At 37.5% G+C, this 19,057-nt stretch overlaps 1 protein-coding gene across 26 annotated transcripts in view, besides 1 other annotated feature; it reads left to right on the forward strand.

Moving 5' to 3' along the window:
• Positions 1-19,057, forward strand: part of MBD5 (methyl-CpG binding domain protein 5) — a 496,045-nt gene that overhangs the window by 158,094 nt on the left and 318,894 nt on the right. The gene's annotated exons all lie outside the window — the stretch shown is intronic.
• Positions 10,072-10,775: an enhancer, noted in NCBI's record as "NANOG-H3K27ac-H3K4me1 hESC enhancer chr2:148946661-148947364 (GRCh37/hg19 assembly coordinates)". NCBI's record gives its function as "activates a minimal SCP1, AML or CMV promoter by ChIP-STARR-seq in naive H9 embryonic stem cells {active_cell/tissue: H9 hESC(naive)}" and the evidence as "EXISTENCE:reporter gene assay evidence [ECO:0000049][PMID:30033119]".

Below are 19,057 nucleotides of genomic sequence, written 5' to 3' on the forward strand. Positions count from 1 at the left end.
GTAATACACAAGTGCAAACCAGTTAAGAATAAAGAATAAAAAAGTAACTTCTGGCCGGGCGCGGTGGCTCACGCCTGTAATCCCAGCACTTTGGGAGGCCGAGGCGGGCGGATCACGAGGTCAGGAGATCCAGACCATCCTGGAGAACACGGTGAAACCCGGTCTCTACTGAAAATACAAAAAAATTAGGCGGGCGTGGTGGCAGGCGCGTGTAGTCCCAGCTACTCGGGAGGCTGAGGCAGGAGAATGGCGTGAACCCGGGAGGCGGAGCTTGCAGTGAGCCGAGATCGCACCACTGCACTCCAGCCTGGGTGACAGAGCGAGACTCTGTCTCAAAAAAAAAAAAAAAAGTAACTTCTATCAAACCTGTGAATACAACTCAGCAGAATTTAATTTGAAAAAATAATTAAACAGAAAAACTATTATTCATTGCACTGTTTTCATGTATTTATTAATCAGCCCCTTTAACAAGTTAAGAACTTGTTCTTTATCCACTCCAAAACACTCTGTCATAGTTTCATATACTCATAACATTATAACCCCTGAATACAAACCTCTTTTCATTTTATCATGGCTCCCCCAAAATTTCTCTTTACCTAGCATATTCTTTCACGTAGCACGTTCTGTTCATGCCTCCCATGACTGCTTACATACTTAACATGACTAAGTAAATTTCTGAGCACATTTTGTTAAAATTTCAAGTGAGATACAAGGGGAATAAACCTCCAAAAACAATATTTTAATGTTCCTTGCCAAATGGGGACAATGGAAGCCTGGAGAGTATGTGACCTGTAAACGGGATGCTCCTATTCAGTTCTAGGATCCTTGCTAAATGGAAATGAGATGCTGTAAAATCAATTCTCAGTAGTTTTTTTAAAGAACAGAAATAAATTTGAAAAATCCTTATTTTTAAATGTCAGCATAAAATTTTTCCTTTGAAAAAAAGTTTACTTTTGCTACTACTTAAGCCAAGTAAAACAGTTTACAGCCCCTAGTGCAGGAGTGTTTTTTCTTTTTTCTATTTTTCTTTATTCTCTTAGAGTGCAAGTATTTAGAGTCTATTTTTTCTCCTTAATTTGTGGTTAACTGTTTAATGATTTTTGCCAGTTTTCTATAATGAATATTATTGTCAGAAATGACTTCTCTTGAAAACATAAGTGATATTACTTATTTCTAATTCATTTACATAGTTATATATGGTGACTTGGTTACTTGGAAGAGCTATTCAATTGTTTTCTGAATTATAATGATTAGATAACTATTTTTATGGTTCCTTCTTCTCCACAGTCTAAATCAGATCCTTCTAGTAAAAAAAAATTATACATATATATATATATATATGTATATATGTATCTTTTACTTTAAGAGATGTAGTCTCTTTAAGTTGCTCAGACTAGATTTGAGCTCCTGGGCTCCAGCAATCCTCCCACCTCAGCCTCTCAAGCAGCTAGGACTGCAGGTGTGCATTAACCATGCCGGGCACTTTCTGGTTTTTGTTGTTGTTGTCGTGTGTTTGTTTGTTTGTTTTGAGGCAGGGTCTTATTCTGTTGCCCAGGTTGGAATACAGTGGCATAATCATGGGTCACTGCAGCATCAACCTCCTAGGCTCAAGCCATCTTCCTGCCTCGGCCTCCCAAAGTGATGGGATTACATGCATGTGCCACCTCGCCCGGCATCTTTTTTTTAAAAGACCTTTTACACAAAGAGAAAGCAGAGTTAATCACACTCTTAGGTCCATGGGGCACTGTCATTACTGGTTCATGCAAAGCACTTCTTGTTTTATTTATTTATAAATTTTCCAGTCTCATTCTCCTGCCCTTGACCCATAGGAAATCATTCTAATATTATGATATTCTAAAATAATATCTATTGTACTGTTCTATTTTGTTTATATTTTCATAATGAGTATTGTTTTGCATGCATACATTTTAAAATTTTTATATGAGAAATTTCAAATAAATGAAAAGGAAAAGAGAGAATATTATGAACCGCCACATGTCTATATGTCAGCTTCAACAGTTAGCATCTTATGGTACAATTTGTTTTACCTCTGACCTCTCCTCACCCTGACTTATATACATGAAATTTAAATAAGTGTAAGTGATTTCGTGCTGTGTATCTCATTGTGATCCTTACTATTTTATTTCATATAACCTTAAGTTTTAAACTTTATTTATGTTGCCATGTTTTTACTGCTGCTTACTGCTACATGGTAATCCACAGTATATGGCAGCCATATTTTCACTACCCATTTTCCTCAGTGTTTGCCATCCAAATTGCTTTCAATTTCCTTTTACCACATGTTCATCATGTCCTATCGTGGAACTTTGCAAGGATTTCTTTAGAATATATACCCAGGAGCAGAATTGCTGGGTGACAGAATATATGTTTATGATTAATTTAACCAATCCCTATCAGATGCGTCCCCACATAAATACTTTGGTCTTTACAGACTCCAGCAATAACCTTCTCATCATCCATGCCAGCCCTTAACGTTTTCCAGCTTACTCATGTTTTCAGTCTAATGTGTGTAATTTTATAGATCATTGTTTTGAGTTTTTTAAAATCACTATTGAGTTTGAGTATCTCATCATATACCTGTTGGCCTTTTGATTTCCCTCTTCTGAACTTGCTTCTCATATTCTTTATATATTTTTTCATTTGGGTTCAATTGTTTTATAGGAATTTGTTGTATGTGCTCGATATTAATTTCCTATCAGTTTAGATATTATAAAATATCTGCTTCCATTCTTTCAACTTTTAAATTTTATGCATGATGTTCTTTAAGTAGACATTCAGATTTTAAATATCCCATTAAAAATATTTTCTTGATGTTTATTGCTGGAGTACATGAGTGCTACTGATATTTTTAAAAGTTTATCTTTGTCCTAACTATATTGCTAAACCCTCTTATTCTTAACAGATTGTTCTTTTTTTTGAAATAGATTATTATAATCATTTGAAATTAATGATAATATTATTTCCTTCCTTCCCATCTTTATATTTAAACTCCTTTCTTCTTTCCTATATCTTTTTTTGTTAGTTCCTCTGGAACTATGTTAACGAGTAGTAGTGATGTTGGCCATCTCATGTCTCATCATAAAGGAGGTGAACCTAAAGTTTCTCAATTAATACTTACAAAATGTTTTTTAATATATAACATTTACCAGATTAAGAAAGGTTCTTCTATTTTTAGTTTGCTAAGCAGTCTTATAAATAGCTATTGAACCTTAACAATGCTTTTTATTATGTGTATGTTAAAATAATTATAAGGTATTCATCCTGTGGTATATTAATGTTATGTATTATATGTATAGAATTTCTAATATTAAACCATCCATGCATTCATAGTTTGCATTATGAAGTATTACCTGATCATGATGTATTATTCTTTAATACACTGTTGTGTTTGGTTAGCAAATATCTGACTGGAGATTTTGGAATCTATATTTTTAAGTTAAATGCAGTGTAATTTTCTTATTTTCCTCGTTTGGTTTTATAATTAAGATTACACTAGCCTTCTAAAATGAGATGTGCATGTTTGCTCCTTTTAAGAAAGGAATTTACTGTTTCTTTTAATGTGTGCTAACTCAAATGTAAAACTATCTGGTTCTGGGGATTTTGGTGAGGACATATCTTTGACAATTATATACATCTTTAATGCTTTTTGGTCAATTCAGGTTTCCTTCTCAGCTTCTTCCACTCCCCTTCCAATGGCTTTTGATGGCAGCTGGTATTCTTCTCACCCTCAGGTATACCTCAGACTGAGTTTCCTTTGAGTCAGGAAATACTGAGCCCACATTGACATTCACATTCACATTCACAGGAAATCTCAGTGCCCACATTCAACTGAGCCATGTAATGGGCACCCCGCTTTTGGACTGACTGGGAATTGATTGTCCTAACTCTGACCACTGGTCTCTGATCTGCCTGGTCTTGCTTCAGTTAAACTCCCTCTGCCACATACCTAAATTAATCCTGCACTACGACAGTATCCTGCTTTTGTATAACTAGAAATTTCAGTTAATAATGCCCTGAATTGACTTCCTCATAGCTCTTAAAACTTCTGGTTATATGTGTCAAGATGAATATTTTGATAAAAGAATAAGTAAAGCATCATGTTCAGGAAAGTAAGTGTTGCAGAAGAAATGAGCAATGATATGGTCTGATGTCCTCTACATTTGATATATACTATATATCAATTTGATATATAGTATGTATCTGATTGTAGTTAACTCCAGGAGATTTTCCCCTTATCTTAGAGTTTGAACCATATAGTGACCATGTATTATCGAAGAAAAATGAAGGGTATTTCCCCTTACAAAAAGAAAAAGGAGTAAAGATCATAAGCAGGAAGTTCATGGACACACTAACAAAAATAAATGAAATAGTAATTATAATCATAATTGTTTATACATTACAATGTGTTTCACCATTTTCAATATTTAAGTTTTTCCCACACTTTGAATGTTTTCTGAATTTATTTTGAATCTTTTATTACTAAAAAAAAAATTGGATGTATATATATCTCTCCTACAAAGAATCTTGTCCATTCTGACATCCCTTTGTCTCTTCATCTTCTCCTACCCCATCATTTGCTACTATCTACTTTAAATCCTAAACCATTATGCCCCTATGTTCTCCTTTTCTTAGTTGTTGGCTATTTAAAAAAACAGCACATTTTCCCAAGACATTTTGTCAGCATTACTTCACACGTCTTTTAATTATCTTCCATATTTGTTTCTATTTAAGGATTTTATCAAAAACTGTCTTCTGAGGTCTTGTATGCTTGGAAATATATGTCATCATAGCCTCATAGTTGAATGACTGCATTGTCATATGTAAAAATCTAGGTTTTAATATTTTTCCTTCAATACTTTGAAAATCCATGATATTCCCTAATCACATTGTAAAAAAATTTTTTTAATTAATTTAAAAAAATAAAATCCATGATGTTTTTGGCCTGTTCAACTCCATCATTCCTTCAAATACATCCTTCTTAATTTTTTTTTTTTTTTTGAGACCTTCTGACTCTGTCACCTGGGCTGGAATGCAGTGACACAATCTCTGCTCAACCTCCTCCTGGGCCCAAGCGATTCTCCCACCTCAGCCTCCTGAGTAGCTGGGACTGCAGACACATGCCACCACGCCCAGCTAATTTTTGTATTTTTTGATAGAGATGGGGTTTCACTGTGTTAGCCAGGCTGGTCTTGAACTCCTGACCTCAAGTGGTCCTCCCGCCTTGGCTTCCCACAGTGCTGGGATTGTAGGTGTGAGCCACCAGACCCAGCCTATTTTTCTTTCTGAGTCTCCTGTTATTCAGATGTTAGCACTGTCAATCCCTTAGCCTTTCTTTTATATTTTCTATATCCTTGTTCTTAGGTTTGAAGATTTCCTCAAACTGATCTTTGGATTCATTAATTTACTCCTCATTTAAATTCTATTATTTATCCAGTCTATATACTTCAAGTATTATATTTTTGTACCTAATATTTCTGCGTGCTTCTTTGTTCTCTTGTTCTTATTATATGCCGCTAATATCTTCCCTTATCTCTTTTAGTATGTTTATTAGGCTTATTTTAAGTTCTTGGGACATCAGATCTAATAATTCTGCTTCTCTTAGAATCTGTATGCCAATATTTTATTTTTCTTTGAAAACAGTTGTGCTTCTTCAATGTCTTGATATGTTGACCTGTAAGGTAATTTCCCTCTGGGGATATTGGCTACTATGACATCACATGTGGGAAGAGACTAGTATCCAGTCTGGCATTTTCAGTGAGCTCAAAGGATGGAAGGTAGGTAGAAAAGCCCCAGGCTACTTGAGAAATCAGTTTATCAAATCTACAAAATGACACCTCAGATCTCTGCTTCACCATCTCTCCGCTTCTCCCTGATCCCACCAGGGAGAACAGCAGCCAAAGCTATTTATTGTAATTTACCAGCTTTACGGTTTAGTAGGAAAGGGCAGAGAAATTACTACCTAAGGTTAGTTGGTCTCCACCTGTTTTCCTCAGCTTTTTATAATTATGGTTTACTTCTGAGGGCATTTGGACTGTAGTCTGAGTCCCTGTAGATATGGGAACTATAAGTTTTTTACTCAAGTCATGGAATAGTCAAAAGCAGAACTCCAATAGTTCATTTCCTGTTTTATCCTCCCACATATTTGAAGGACTGCCTCCTGCCCCAGATCCAAGGCCCAAGCCACCAGCCAGCACACTTACCAGTTCAAAATTGTCCTTTTTCACCCCACTTTCTTCCCTGGGAGTTTTCGGGTTTTCTTATTTCTTGGCTTTTTTTCTTTATATTTCCTATAGGAGTTGGTCTTTGGAGAGGGAACCAGACAGTGTACTATTCCAACATCTTGGTATTATCTTTCTGAAAGAAACTCAAACAAAAGCTATATGTATGTGTGTACCCTTTGACCCAGAGATTACATTTCTAGAAATTTCTCCAAAATGTATTATCAAGAACTATTTAATCATGATATTGGAAAACAGTTTAAATATCCAAAAGTGGGGGTTAATTAAATAGATACATAGTCATGGAATAAACTATTCTGAGTAATACACTACTGATTTCTGGTTTTTTAAAAGATTGATGCTCAGGTGTGGTGGCTCATGTCTATAATCCCAACACTTTGGGAGACTGAGGTGAGAGGATCACTTGAGCTAAGGAGTTCAAGACCAGCCTGGGCAACATAATGAGGCCTCCTCTCTACTAAAAAATGTAAAAGTAAAATATCAGCCAGGCATGGTGGTACGTGCCTGTAGTTCCAGCTATTCAAGAGGATTGCTTGAGCCTAGGAGATCTTGATCTGTTTCTAATGACTATCTTTTCTCTTGGTTTTAGGTCACATTTTCCTACCTTTTAAAATGTCTTGTAATTATTGAATTGATGGGTTTGCGTAGGATAGTTTTTAAATGTGGATATTTAGCATGATTTGCGTATCTCTGTTATAAAGTACTTCTCAAACTGTAATTATTTCTTTACCTCTATAACACACAGAATGTTAGGACTGAGAAAAGGATGACTGGAGCTGGCAGTTGAATCACTGGTTTAGTTGCAGTATAGTACTAGAATGAAAGTAATACGGTTTGGCTGTGTCACCACTCAGATCTCATCTTGAATTCCAACGTGTTGTGTGAGGGACCCAATGAGAGGTAATTGAATCATGGGGGCGGGTCTTTCATGTGCTGTTCTCGTGATAGTGAATAAGTCTCATGAGATCTGGTGGTTTTTAAAAACAGGAGTTTCCCAGCTCAAGCTCTCCCTTTGCCCTCTGGCTGATTGTGAGGCCTCCCCAGCCATGTAGCACTGTAAGTCCATTAAACCACTTTTTCTTCCCAGTCTTGGGTATGTCTTTATCAGCAGCATGAAAACAGACAAATACAATGAGTAAAAGGAAATAAAAAAGAAGCAGTCACAATCCTTTCATGTAATTTGTCAACAAGAGGGTAGATGCAGCATCATGGAGGAAACACTTTACAATGCTTTGAATATTACCCAAATCAAATTGCCCTTAAAAAAGTAAAGAGAAATTAAAACAGTCATGAAGAAAAGAGCCTCAAATTAAAATAGAGACTTTTAGAGATTTTTTAATAACAGGACATTTTGCCGTTGTGATTTGGAGAAAGTTTTTCCTTATAGTTTTTAACCAACTTGAGAATAGACACGAAGAGCCAGATGGGAAGACAACTAAATCTAAACATTTTACAAAACCTTGATAGTGATCAGCATCTAGCCAAGAATTATAAGACATGAAAAAGTAGGAAAATTAACCCCAAACCACTAGAATAGACAATCAGTAGAAACAGAGCAAGAAATGACAGCAATAATGTAAACAGCAAAGACTTTAAAACATCTAATTGTACACATATACAAGGATATAAAGTAAAACATTAAAACAATGAAGAGAGTCTTAGAAAATATATTTTTTAGCTCTAGGAATTCCCACATCTGAATGGAATATCCACTGGATGGGTTTCTCAATGCAATAAACATTGCCAATTAAAAAGATCAATAGACTTGAAGAAAGTATGAAAAACTGAACCGCTGCTGGGTACAGTGGCACGTGCCTATAGTCCTACCTACTCAGGAGGCTGAAGTGGAAGAATAGCTTAAGTACAGGAGTTTGGGGCTGTAGTGTGCTATGATCACATGTGTGGATAGCCACTGCATTCCAGCCTGGACATACTAGCCAGTCCCCAAGTCTAAAAACGAGTAAGTAAAGTAAAGTAAAAACTGAATTAGAGAGTAAGAAAACTGAACCCTCCCCCTTCCTCCATACCCCCCCCAAAAAAAAAACCCAGCACCTAAGTGTCCTGATACTATGAGGCATAACAAATATGGAATTGGAGTTGCAGAAGGGGTGAGGGCAGAAAAAATATTTGAACAAATATGGCCAAAATTGTTCCACATTGGATGAAAAATAGAAACATAAAAATCCAAGTTCATTTAACTTCAAATAGAAAAGAAAACCATACCAAAACATATCATTTCTGAAACCAGTGATAAAGAGAAAAGTCATAAAAGTAAATGAAGAAAAAGGCACATCACAAAATGCAAAACAAAAATGAACTGACTTCACATCAGAAAAAATGCAAACCAGAAGATAATGGAATGAGATCGGTATCAAAAGATGAAGACTTATAAACCTTAAATTCTATAACCAGGAAAAAACATCTAAAATGATGACATTTTCAGAAAAAAAAAATCCACTGAGAGAATTCATTGCTAGCAGACCTGTTACAAGAAATGTTAAATAAAGTCTTAAGGCAGAAGAAAAATGATGCTAGATGGAAACTCGATCTCTTCAGAAGAATGAAGAGCCCCAGAAATTGTAAATAGATTGGTAAACATAAAAGACTGTTGTTTATATATTTAAAAAGATAACTGACTGCTTAAGTAAAAAACACTGAAAAATAAAAATGAATATTTTGTTATCACATATGTAGAAGTAAAATATATGGCAATAGTGCAAAGAATGGGAGGGATAAATTGTAGTACAGGTGGAATATTCCTAATCCCAGAATCCAGAATGGTCCAAAATTCAAAACTTATTGAGTGCCTACCCGATGCTCAAAGGAAATGATCATTGGAGCATTTCAGATTTTGGATTTTTGGATTAGGGATTCTCAATCTGTTTAACACAAGTATTCCAAAATTTGAAAAAATTCAAAATTTGAATGAATTCTAGTCCCAGACATTTCAGATATTGTGTCTTAAGCTCATTATATTATTAGGAAATTATAGGCTATTATTTAAAATTGGGCTGTGATAAGTTAAAGATGCATATTTAAACCCTAGAGCAATCACCAAAGATTTAAAACAAAGAAATATAGCTGATAAATCAATAGAGGAGATAAAGTAGAATACTAGAGAACTGGCTAGGCATGATGGCCAATGCCTGTAAGTAAACACTTTGGGAGGCCAAGGGAGGAGGATCACTTGAGTCCAGGAGTTTGAGACCAGCCTGGGCAACATAATGAGACCCTGTATCTACAAAAAATTAAAAAATTAGCCAGGCATACTGGTGTAAACCTGTAGTCTCAGAGGCTGAGGCTGAAATGAGAAGATAACTTGAGCCCAGGAGGTTGAGGCTGCAGTGAGCCATGATTGCGCCACTGCACTGTAGCCTGGGCAACAGTGTGAGACCCTGTCTCAAAAAAAAAAAAAAAAAAAAATCAATCATTTCAAAAGAAGACAACATTAAAAATAAAAGAACAGGGAGGAGCCAAGATGGCCGAATAGGAACAGCTCCGGTCTACAGCTCCCAGCGTGAGCGACGCAGAAGACGGGTGATTTCTGTATTTCCATCTGAGGTACCGGGTTCATCTCACTAGGGAGTGCCAGACAGTGGGCGCAGGCCAGTGTGTGTGCGCACCGTGCGCGAGCCGAAGCAGGGCGAGACATTGCCTCACCTGGGAAGCGCAAGGGGTCAGGGAGTTCCCTTTCCGAGTCAAAGAAAGGGGTGACGGACGCACCTGGAAAATCGGGTCACTCCCACCCGAATATTGCGCTTTTCAGACCGGCTTAAGAAACGGCGCACCACGAGACTATATCCCACACCTGGCTCAGAGGGTCCTACGCCCACGGAATCTCGCTGATTGCTAGCACAGCAGTCTGAGATCAAACTGCAAGGCGGCAACGAGGCTGGGGGAGGGGCGCCCGCCATTGCTCAGGCTTGCTTAGGTAAACAAAGCAGCCGGGAAGCTCGAACTGGGTGGAGCCCACCACAGCTCAAGGAGGCCTGCCTGCCTCTGTAGGCTCCACCTCTGGGGGCAGGGCACAGACAAACAAAAAGACAGCAGTAACCTCTGAGACTTAAGTGTCCCTGTCTGACAGCTTTGAAGAGAGCAGTGGTTCTCCCAGCACACAGCTGGAGATCTGAGAACGGGCAGACTGCCTCCTCAAGTGGGTCCCTGACCCGTGACCCCCGAGCAGCCTAACTGGGAGGCACCCCCCAGCAGGGGCACACTGACACCTCACACAGCAGGGTATTCCAACAGACCTGCAGCTGAGGGTCCTGTCTGTTAGAAGGAAAACTAACAACCAGAAAGGACATCTACACCGAAAACCCATCTGTACATCACCATCATCAAAGACCAAAAGTAGATAAAACCACAAAGATGGGGAAAAAACAGAACAGAAAAACTGGAAACTCTAAAATGCAGAGCGCCTCTCCTCCTCCAAAGGAACGCAGTTCCTCACCAGCAACAGAACAAAGCTGGATGGAGAATGATTTTGACGAGCTGAGAGAAGAAGGCTTCAGACGATCAAATTACTCTGAGCTACGGGAGGACATTCAAACCAAAGGCAAAGAAGTTGAAAACTTTGAAAAAAATTTAGAAGAATGTATAACTAGAATAACCAATACAGAGAAGTGCTTAAAGGAGCTAATGGAGCTGAAAACCAAGGCTCGAGAACTACGTGAAGAATGCAGAAGCCTCAGGAGCCGATGCGATCAACTGGAAGAAAGGGTATCAGCAATGGAAGATGAAATGAATGAAATGAAGCGAGAAGGGAAGTTTAGAGAAAAAAGAATAAAAAGAAATGAGCAAAGCCTCCAAGAAATATGGGACTATGTGAAAAGACCAAATCTACGTCTGATTGGTGTACCTGAAAGTGATGTGGAGAATGGAACCAAGTTGGAAAACACTCTGCAGGATATTATCCAGGAGAACTTCCCCAATCTAGCAAGGCAGGCCAACGTTCAGATTCAGGAAATACAGAGAACGCCACAAAGATACTCCTCGAGAAGAGCAACTCCAAGACACATAATTGTCAGATTCACCAAAGTTGAAATGAAGGAAAAAATGTTAAGGGCAGCCAGAGAGAAAGGTCGGGTTACCCTCAAAGGAAAGCCCATCAGACTAACAGCGGATCTCTCAGCAGAAACCCTACAAGCCAGAAGAGAGTGGGGGCCAATATTCAACATTCTTAAAGAAAAGAATTTTCAACCCAGAATTTCATATCCAGCCAAGCTAAGCTTCATAAGTGAAGGAGAAATAAAATACTTTATAGACAAGCAAATGCTGAGAGATTTTGTCACCACCAGGCCTGCCCTAAAAGAGCTCCTGAAGGAAGCGCTAAACATGGAAAGGAACAACCGGTACCAGCCGCTGCAAAATCATGCCAAAATGTAAAGACCATCGAGACTAGGAAGAAACTGCATCAACTAACCAGCAAAATAACCAGCTAACATCATAATGACAGGATCAAATTCACACATAACAATATTAACTTTAAATATAAATGGACTAAATTCTGCAATTAAAGGACACAGACTGGCAAGTTGGATAAAGAGTCAAGACCCATCAGTGTGCTGTATTCAGGAAACCCATCTCACGTGCAGAGACACACATAGGCTCAAAATAAAAGGATGGAGGAAGATCTACCAAGCAAATGGAAAACAAAAAAAGGCAGGGGTTGCAATCCTAGTCTCTGATAAAACAGACTTTAAACCAACACAGATCAAAAAAGACAAAGAAGGCCATTACATAATGGTAAAGGGATCAATTCAACAAGAGGAGCTAACTATCCTAAATATTTATGCACCCAATACAGGAGCACCCAGATTCATAAAGCAAGTCCTGAGTGACCTACAAAGAGACTTAGACTCCCACACATTAATAATGGGAGACTTTAACACCCCACTGTCAACATTAGACAGATCAACGAGACAGAAAGTCAACAAGGATACCCAGGAATTGAACTCAGCTCTGCACCAAGCAGACCTAATAGACATCTACAGAACTCTCCACCCCAAATCAACAGAATATACATTTTTTTCAGCACCACACCACACCTATTCCAAAATTGACCACATAGTTGGAAGTAAAGCTCTCCTCAGCAAATGTAAAAGAACAGAAATTATAACAAACTATCTCTCAGACCACAGTGCAATCAAACTAGAACTCAGGATTAAGAATCTCACTCAAAGCCGCTCAACTACATGGAAACTGAACAACCTGCTCCTGAATGACTACTGGGTACATAACGAAATGAAGGCAGAAATAAAGATGTTCTTTGAAACCAACGAGAACAAAGACACCACATACCAGAATCTCTGGGACGCATTGAAAGCAGTGTGTAGAGGGAAATTTATAGCACTAAATGCCTACAAGAGAAAGCAGGAAAGATCCAAAATTGACACCCTAACATCACAATTAAAAGAACTAGAAAAGCAAGAGCAAACACATTCAAAAGCTAGCAGAAGGCAAGAAATAACTAAAATCAGAGCAGAACTGAAGGAAATAGAGACACAAAAAACCCTTCAAAAAATCAATGAATCCAGGAGCTGGTTCTTTGAAAGGATCAACAAAATTGATAGACCGCTAGCAAGACTAATAAAGAAAAAAAGAGAGAAGAATCAAATAGACACAATAAAAAATGATAAAGGGGATATCACCACCGATCCCACAGAAATACAAACTACCATCAGAGAATACTACAAACACCTCTACGCTAATAAACTAGAAAATCTAGAAGAAATGGATACATTCCTCGACACATACACTCTCCCAAGACTAAACCAGGAAGAAGTTGAATCTCTGAATAGACCAATAACAGGCTCTGAAATTGTGGCAATAATCAATAGTTTACCAACCAAAAAGAGTCCAGGACCAGATGGATTCACAGCCGAATTCTACCAGAGGTACAAGGAGGAACTGGTACCATTCCTTCTGAAGCTATTCCAATCAATAGAAAAAGAGGGAATCCTCCCTAACTCATTTTATGAGGCCAGCATCATTCTGATACCAAAGCCGGGCAGAGACACAACCAAAAAAGAGAATTTTAGACCAATATCCTTGATGAACATTGATGCAAAAATCCTCAATAAAATACTGGCAAACCGAATCCAGCAGCACATCAAAAAGCTTATCCACCATGATCAAGTGGGCTTCATCCCTGGGATGCAAGGCTGGTTCAATATACGCAAATCAATAAATGTAATCCAGCATATAAACAGAGCCAAAGACAAAAACCACATGATTATCTCAATAGATGCAGAAAAAGCCTTTGACAAAATTCAACAACCCTTCATGCTAAAAACTCTCAATAAATTAGGTATTGATGGGATGTATTTCAAAATAATAAGAGCTATCTATGACAAACCCACAGCCAATATCATTCTGAATGGGCAAAAACTGGAAACATTCCCTTTGAAAACTGGCACAAGACAGGGATGCCCTCTCTCACCGCTCCTATTCAACATAGTGTTGGAAGTTCTGGCCAGGGCAATCAGGCAGGAGAAGGAAATAAAGGGTATTCAATTAGGAAAAGAGGAAGTCAAATTGTCCCTGTTTGCAGACGACATGATTGTTTATCTAGAAAACCCCATCGTCTCAGCCCAAAATCTCCTTAAGCTGATAAGCAACTTCAGCAAAGTCTCAGGATACAAAATCAATGTACAAAAATCACAAGCATTCTTATACACCAACAACAGACAAACAGAGAGCCAAATCATGAGTGAACTCCCATTCACAATTGCTTCAAAGAGAATAAAATACCTAGGAGTCCAACTTACAAGGGACATGAAGGACCTCTTCAAGGAGAACTACAAACCACTGCTCAAGGAAATAAAAGAGGACACAAACAAATGGAAGAACATTCCATGCTCATGGGTAGGAAGAATCAATATTGTGAAAATGGCCATACTGCCCAAGGTAATTTACAGATTCAATGCCATCCCCATCAAGCTACCAATGACTTTCTTCACAGAATTGGAAAAAACTACTTTAAAGTTCATATGGAACCAAAAAAGAGCCCGCATCGCCAAGTCAATCCTAAGCAAAAGAACAAAGCTGGAGGCATCACACTACCTGACTTCAAACTATACTACAAGGCTACAGTAACCAAAACAGCATGGTACTGGTACCAAAACAGAGATATAGATCAATGGAACAGAACAGAGCCCTCAGAAATAATGCCACATATCTACAACTATCTGATCTTTGACAAACCTGAGAAAAACAAGCAATGGGGAAAGGATTCCCTATTTAATAAATGGTGCTGGGAAAACTGGCTAGCCATATGTAGAAAGCTGAAACTGGATCCCTTCCTTACACCTTATACAAAAATTAATTCAAGATGGATTAAAGATTTAAACGTTAGACCTAAAACCATAAAAACCCTAGAAGAAAACCTAGGCATTACCATTCAGGACATAGGCGTGGGCAAGGACTTCATGTCCAAAACACCAAAAGCAATGGCAACAAAAGCCAAAATTGACAAATGGGATCTAATTAAACTAAAGAGCTTCTGCACAGCAAAAGAAACTACCATCAGAGTGAACAGGCAACCTACAACATGGGAGAAAATTTTCGCAACCTACTCATCTGACAAAGGGCTAATATCCAGAATCTACAATGAACTCAAACAAATTTACAAGAAAAAAGCAAACAACCCCATCAAAAAGTGGGCGAAGGACATGAACAGACACTTCTCAAAAGAAGACATTTATGCAGCCAAAAAACACATGAAGAAATGCTCATCATCACTGGCCATCAGAGAAATGCAAACCAAAACCACTATGAGATGTCATCTCACACCAGTTAGAATGGCAATCATTAAAAAGTCAGGAAACAACAGGTGCTGGAGAGGATGTGGAGAAATAGGAACACTTTTACACTGTTGGTGGGACTGTAAACTAGTTCAACCATTGTGGAAGTCAGTGTGGCGATTCCTCAGGGATCTAGAACTAGAAATACCATTTGACCCAGCCATCCCATTACTGGGTATATACCCAAAGGACTATAAATCATGCTGCTATAAAGACACATGCACACGTATGTTTATTGCGGCACTATTCACAATAGCAAAGACTTGGAACCAACCCAAATGTCCAACAATGATAGACTGGATTAAGAAAATGTGGCACATATACACCATGGAATACTATGCAGCCATAAAAAATGATGAGTTCATGTCCTTTGTAGGGACATGGATGAAACTGGAAACCATCATTCTCAGTAAACTATCGCAAGAACAAAAAACCAAACACCGCATATTCTCACTCATAGGTGGGAACTGAACAATGAGATCACTTGGACACAGGAAGCGGAATATCACACTCTGGGGACTGTGGTGGGGTCGGGGGAGGGGGGAGGGATAGCATTGGGAGTTATACCTAATGCTAGATGACACGTTAGTGGGTGCAGCGCACCAGCATGGCACATGTATACATATGTAACTAACCTGCACAATGTGCACATGTACCCTAAAACTTAGAGTATAATAAGAAAAAAAAAAAAATTAAAAAAAAAAAAAATGAAAGAACAGATGGAATAAGTAGAAAACAAATAGCAAGGTGCTAAACTTAGAACCAACTATATCATCACTATATTAAGTATAAATTGTTGAAACACTCAGATTAAAAGGCTTTTTTGTTTTCATCAGACTGATAAAAACCCAATAAACAACTCCAGGGGTTGGCAAACTTTTTATTAAAAGGACACATTATAACTATTTTAAGATTAAGGTCCATACTGTTTCTGTCACAACTACTCAACTCTCTTATCAGAGATCAAAATGTAAACAAGTAGGTATGTCTATGTTCCAATAAAACTTTATTTGCAAAATAAGCAATTGGCTTTTTGTAGGGGGTTAGATATAGGGGGTAGACTCCTGCTATACTAAATAGAAGGAGTGCATTTTAAATATAAAAACACAGGTAGGTTAAAAGTTAAAGGATGTGTTAAATATACCATGCAAACACTAATAATCAGAAAGTCAAGGTGGCTAAAATAATATGAGAAAAAGTATATGTCTGGACAAGTGTTTTAACAGAGATAAAGAGGAAATTTTATAATAAGATAGTTCAAGAGGATTTATTCTCCTAAATGTATATCCACTTAACAATAGATCTTAAAAATATATGAAGCAAAAACTGGTAAGAGTTGAAAGAAGAAATAGACAATTCCACAATTATAGTTAGATATTTCAACCTTCCTCTCCCATAAATGGTTATAACAAGTAAACAGAAACCAATAAGAAAATAGAAACCTTCAACAACACTAAAAACTAACCTGACCGAATTGACATTTGTAGAACATATGCCTAATAACAACAGAATACACATTTTTTTCACTGTGTATAGAACATTAATCATGATAGAACATATGCTGGCCCATGAAAATCAATAAATTTTTAAAGATTGAAGTCATCCAGAGTATGTTCTCTGAACAAAACAGAATTAAGTTATAATCCAATACCAAAAAAGCAGGAAAACCTCTCGATATTTGGAAATTAAACAGCACACTTCTAAACTTATGCGTCAAGAAAAAATTCACCAGAGAAATTAGAAAATATCTTGAACTGAATTGTGATGAAACCACAACATAAAATGTAAAATGCAACTAACACATGGCTTAGAAAGAAATTTGTAATTTTAAAAATAAAAGCAAATTAAACTAACCAAAGTAACAAGGCAACAACAAGGAAATAACATAAGGAATGGATGGGAAGTCATTAAAATAGCAGGTGGGAGATCTTGATGATGACAGCCCTCAAGCTGAGTAACAACTTGTTGCAGTCTGGCCTGGCTGTTATCTTTGCACAGGTATCATTGGTATCACTTATCCTCTTACATGACGATTTCCTTTCTCCTATGTTGAAACTCATGTTTCTTAATCTTTTGTTTTTTTCCTTAATTTGCCGTCTCATTTTTTGGAGCAAGTCCTCCAGGAAGTTCTTGAGAAAGAATGTATAGGAGGTAATTTTTTGTAATAGTTCCATTTCTCATTGTTTTAAATTTCCATGGATGTTAGATCTTTCCACTACGGTTTCATTTATATTGCCGTAATCTGTTATGACTAGTGTAGGTAATTAGAAGTAGCTATTTTAAAATATTTTTGTGCCACTACTAAAAAAAAATGGTTTCCTTTATGTAATGCCTATAACTATATGAGGGAAGCATTCTGAAAGAGTCCCTTTCATAAGAAAGAAAATTCCAGAAGACATTGGTATTAAAAGAATCAATCTCTTAGGTAAGCTTTGTTACTCAGAATTGTGTTTACCAAAATAGGTACATCTCCATTTGTGTCTATTTCTTCTATGTAAAATTAAAATTTTTGTCATCAGCAATAACAGTATGACTTAGTATCTTTAAAACTTGGTGTCTTTTATGAAATGCAAGAATGTAGATCATATGGTAACCTAGCTTACCAAATGGGAAATCCGTGAGCCAGAGCTAGCCATGATTCCTCTTGTTATTTTCTATGAATTTGAATGAAAATTGCCTAATTCATTCATGTTTGGGATTATTTTATTGTGTCAGACAAAGTAGGCTCTTTTATAAGCAAAGGGAGTGGGGGTGCCATTTGCACTGGTGTGTGTGTGTGTGTGTATAAACAAATCTGTATGTAATATAGATTGTATAGCATTTGGTGTACCTCCATCCACATGTGCCAAAATTGGAAAATTAATATATCTCACTTGAACAAAAGTATGGCAACTTATATTTGCCAAAACCAGCTACAGAAATATTCCAGATCCCACATGCTCTTTATATTCTTTATACTCTCCCATCAAGAGGTAGATTCCATTTCCCCTCCTCCTGAAATTTGGCTTCTTTGACCAATAGAATATGGTGGAAGTGACTCTAGGTAGCTTCAAAGGCTTAGGCATAAAAGGCAATCCCGTTCTGCTAGGATCTCTCTCAGAATACTCACCCTTGAAATCCCAGTCCCCATATTGTGAGGAAGACTGAGCCACGTGAGAGGCTGCAACCACACCAAGCATGTGATGGAGCAAGTTTTCAGACGATTTCAGTTCCCAGCCTTAAAGGTGCCCCAGCTGGTACCAAGTGGAGCAGAGACAAACTATCCCTGCTGAACTCTGCCTAAATTTTTAAACAAACTAATGATTGTTTGTTATGCAGCAGTAATTAATTAGGACAAAAAAAGGTTCTGTTTCCAGGTAAGTTTGGAAAGTACCACATTAAAGAACAGCAAAGGAAGTTTCCTTCCTGCAAGAAAGCCTTCAGTGTGCTAATGTGTGTAATGGTCTCCAAGATCATATAGCATACACTTTGCAAAGAGCATGTTAGTTCTATATTCCATGGAACTTAACTTGGGAAACCCTTCTCCATATTCATTATTTTAATGGTTACGTATTCTATTAATAAAGTATGATGCTTCATTCTTCTGTGCTTGAACATTTAGGTTACTTATAACATTTTGCTGTTATATGTGATTTAGTGTTTTCTTTCTTTTATTTATTTCCTTAGGCACTATTCTTTGGAGTAGAATTACTGTGTCATAGCATCTGAGGTTTTTTTTTTTGTTTTTTTTTTTGTTTTTTTTTTTTGAGACAAAGTTTTGCTCTTTTTACCCAGGCTGGAGTACAATGGTATGATCTCGCCTAACTGCAACCTCCACCTCCCGGGTTCAAGCGATTCTCCTGCCTCAGCCTCCAGAGTAAACTGAAATTACAGGGACCCACCACCATGCCCAGCTAATTGTTGTGTTTTTAGTAGAAATGAGGTTTCACCATGTTGGCCAGGCTGGTCTCAAACTCCTGACCTCAGGTGATCTCCCCGCCTCAGCCTCCCAAA

The sequence above is a fragment of the Homo sapiens genome, chromosome 2, assembly GCF_000001405.40.
Source record: "Homo sapiens chromosome 2, GRCh38.p14 Primary Assembly".
Taxonomy (NCBI): domain Eukaryota; kingdom Metazoa; phylum Chordata; class Mammalia; order Primates; family Hominidae; genus Homo; species Homo sapiens.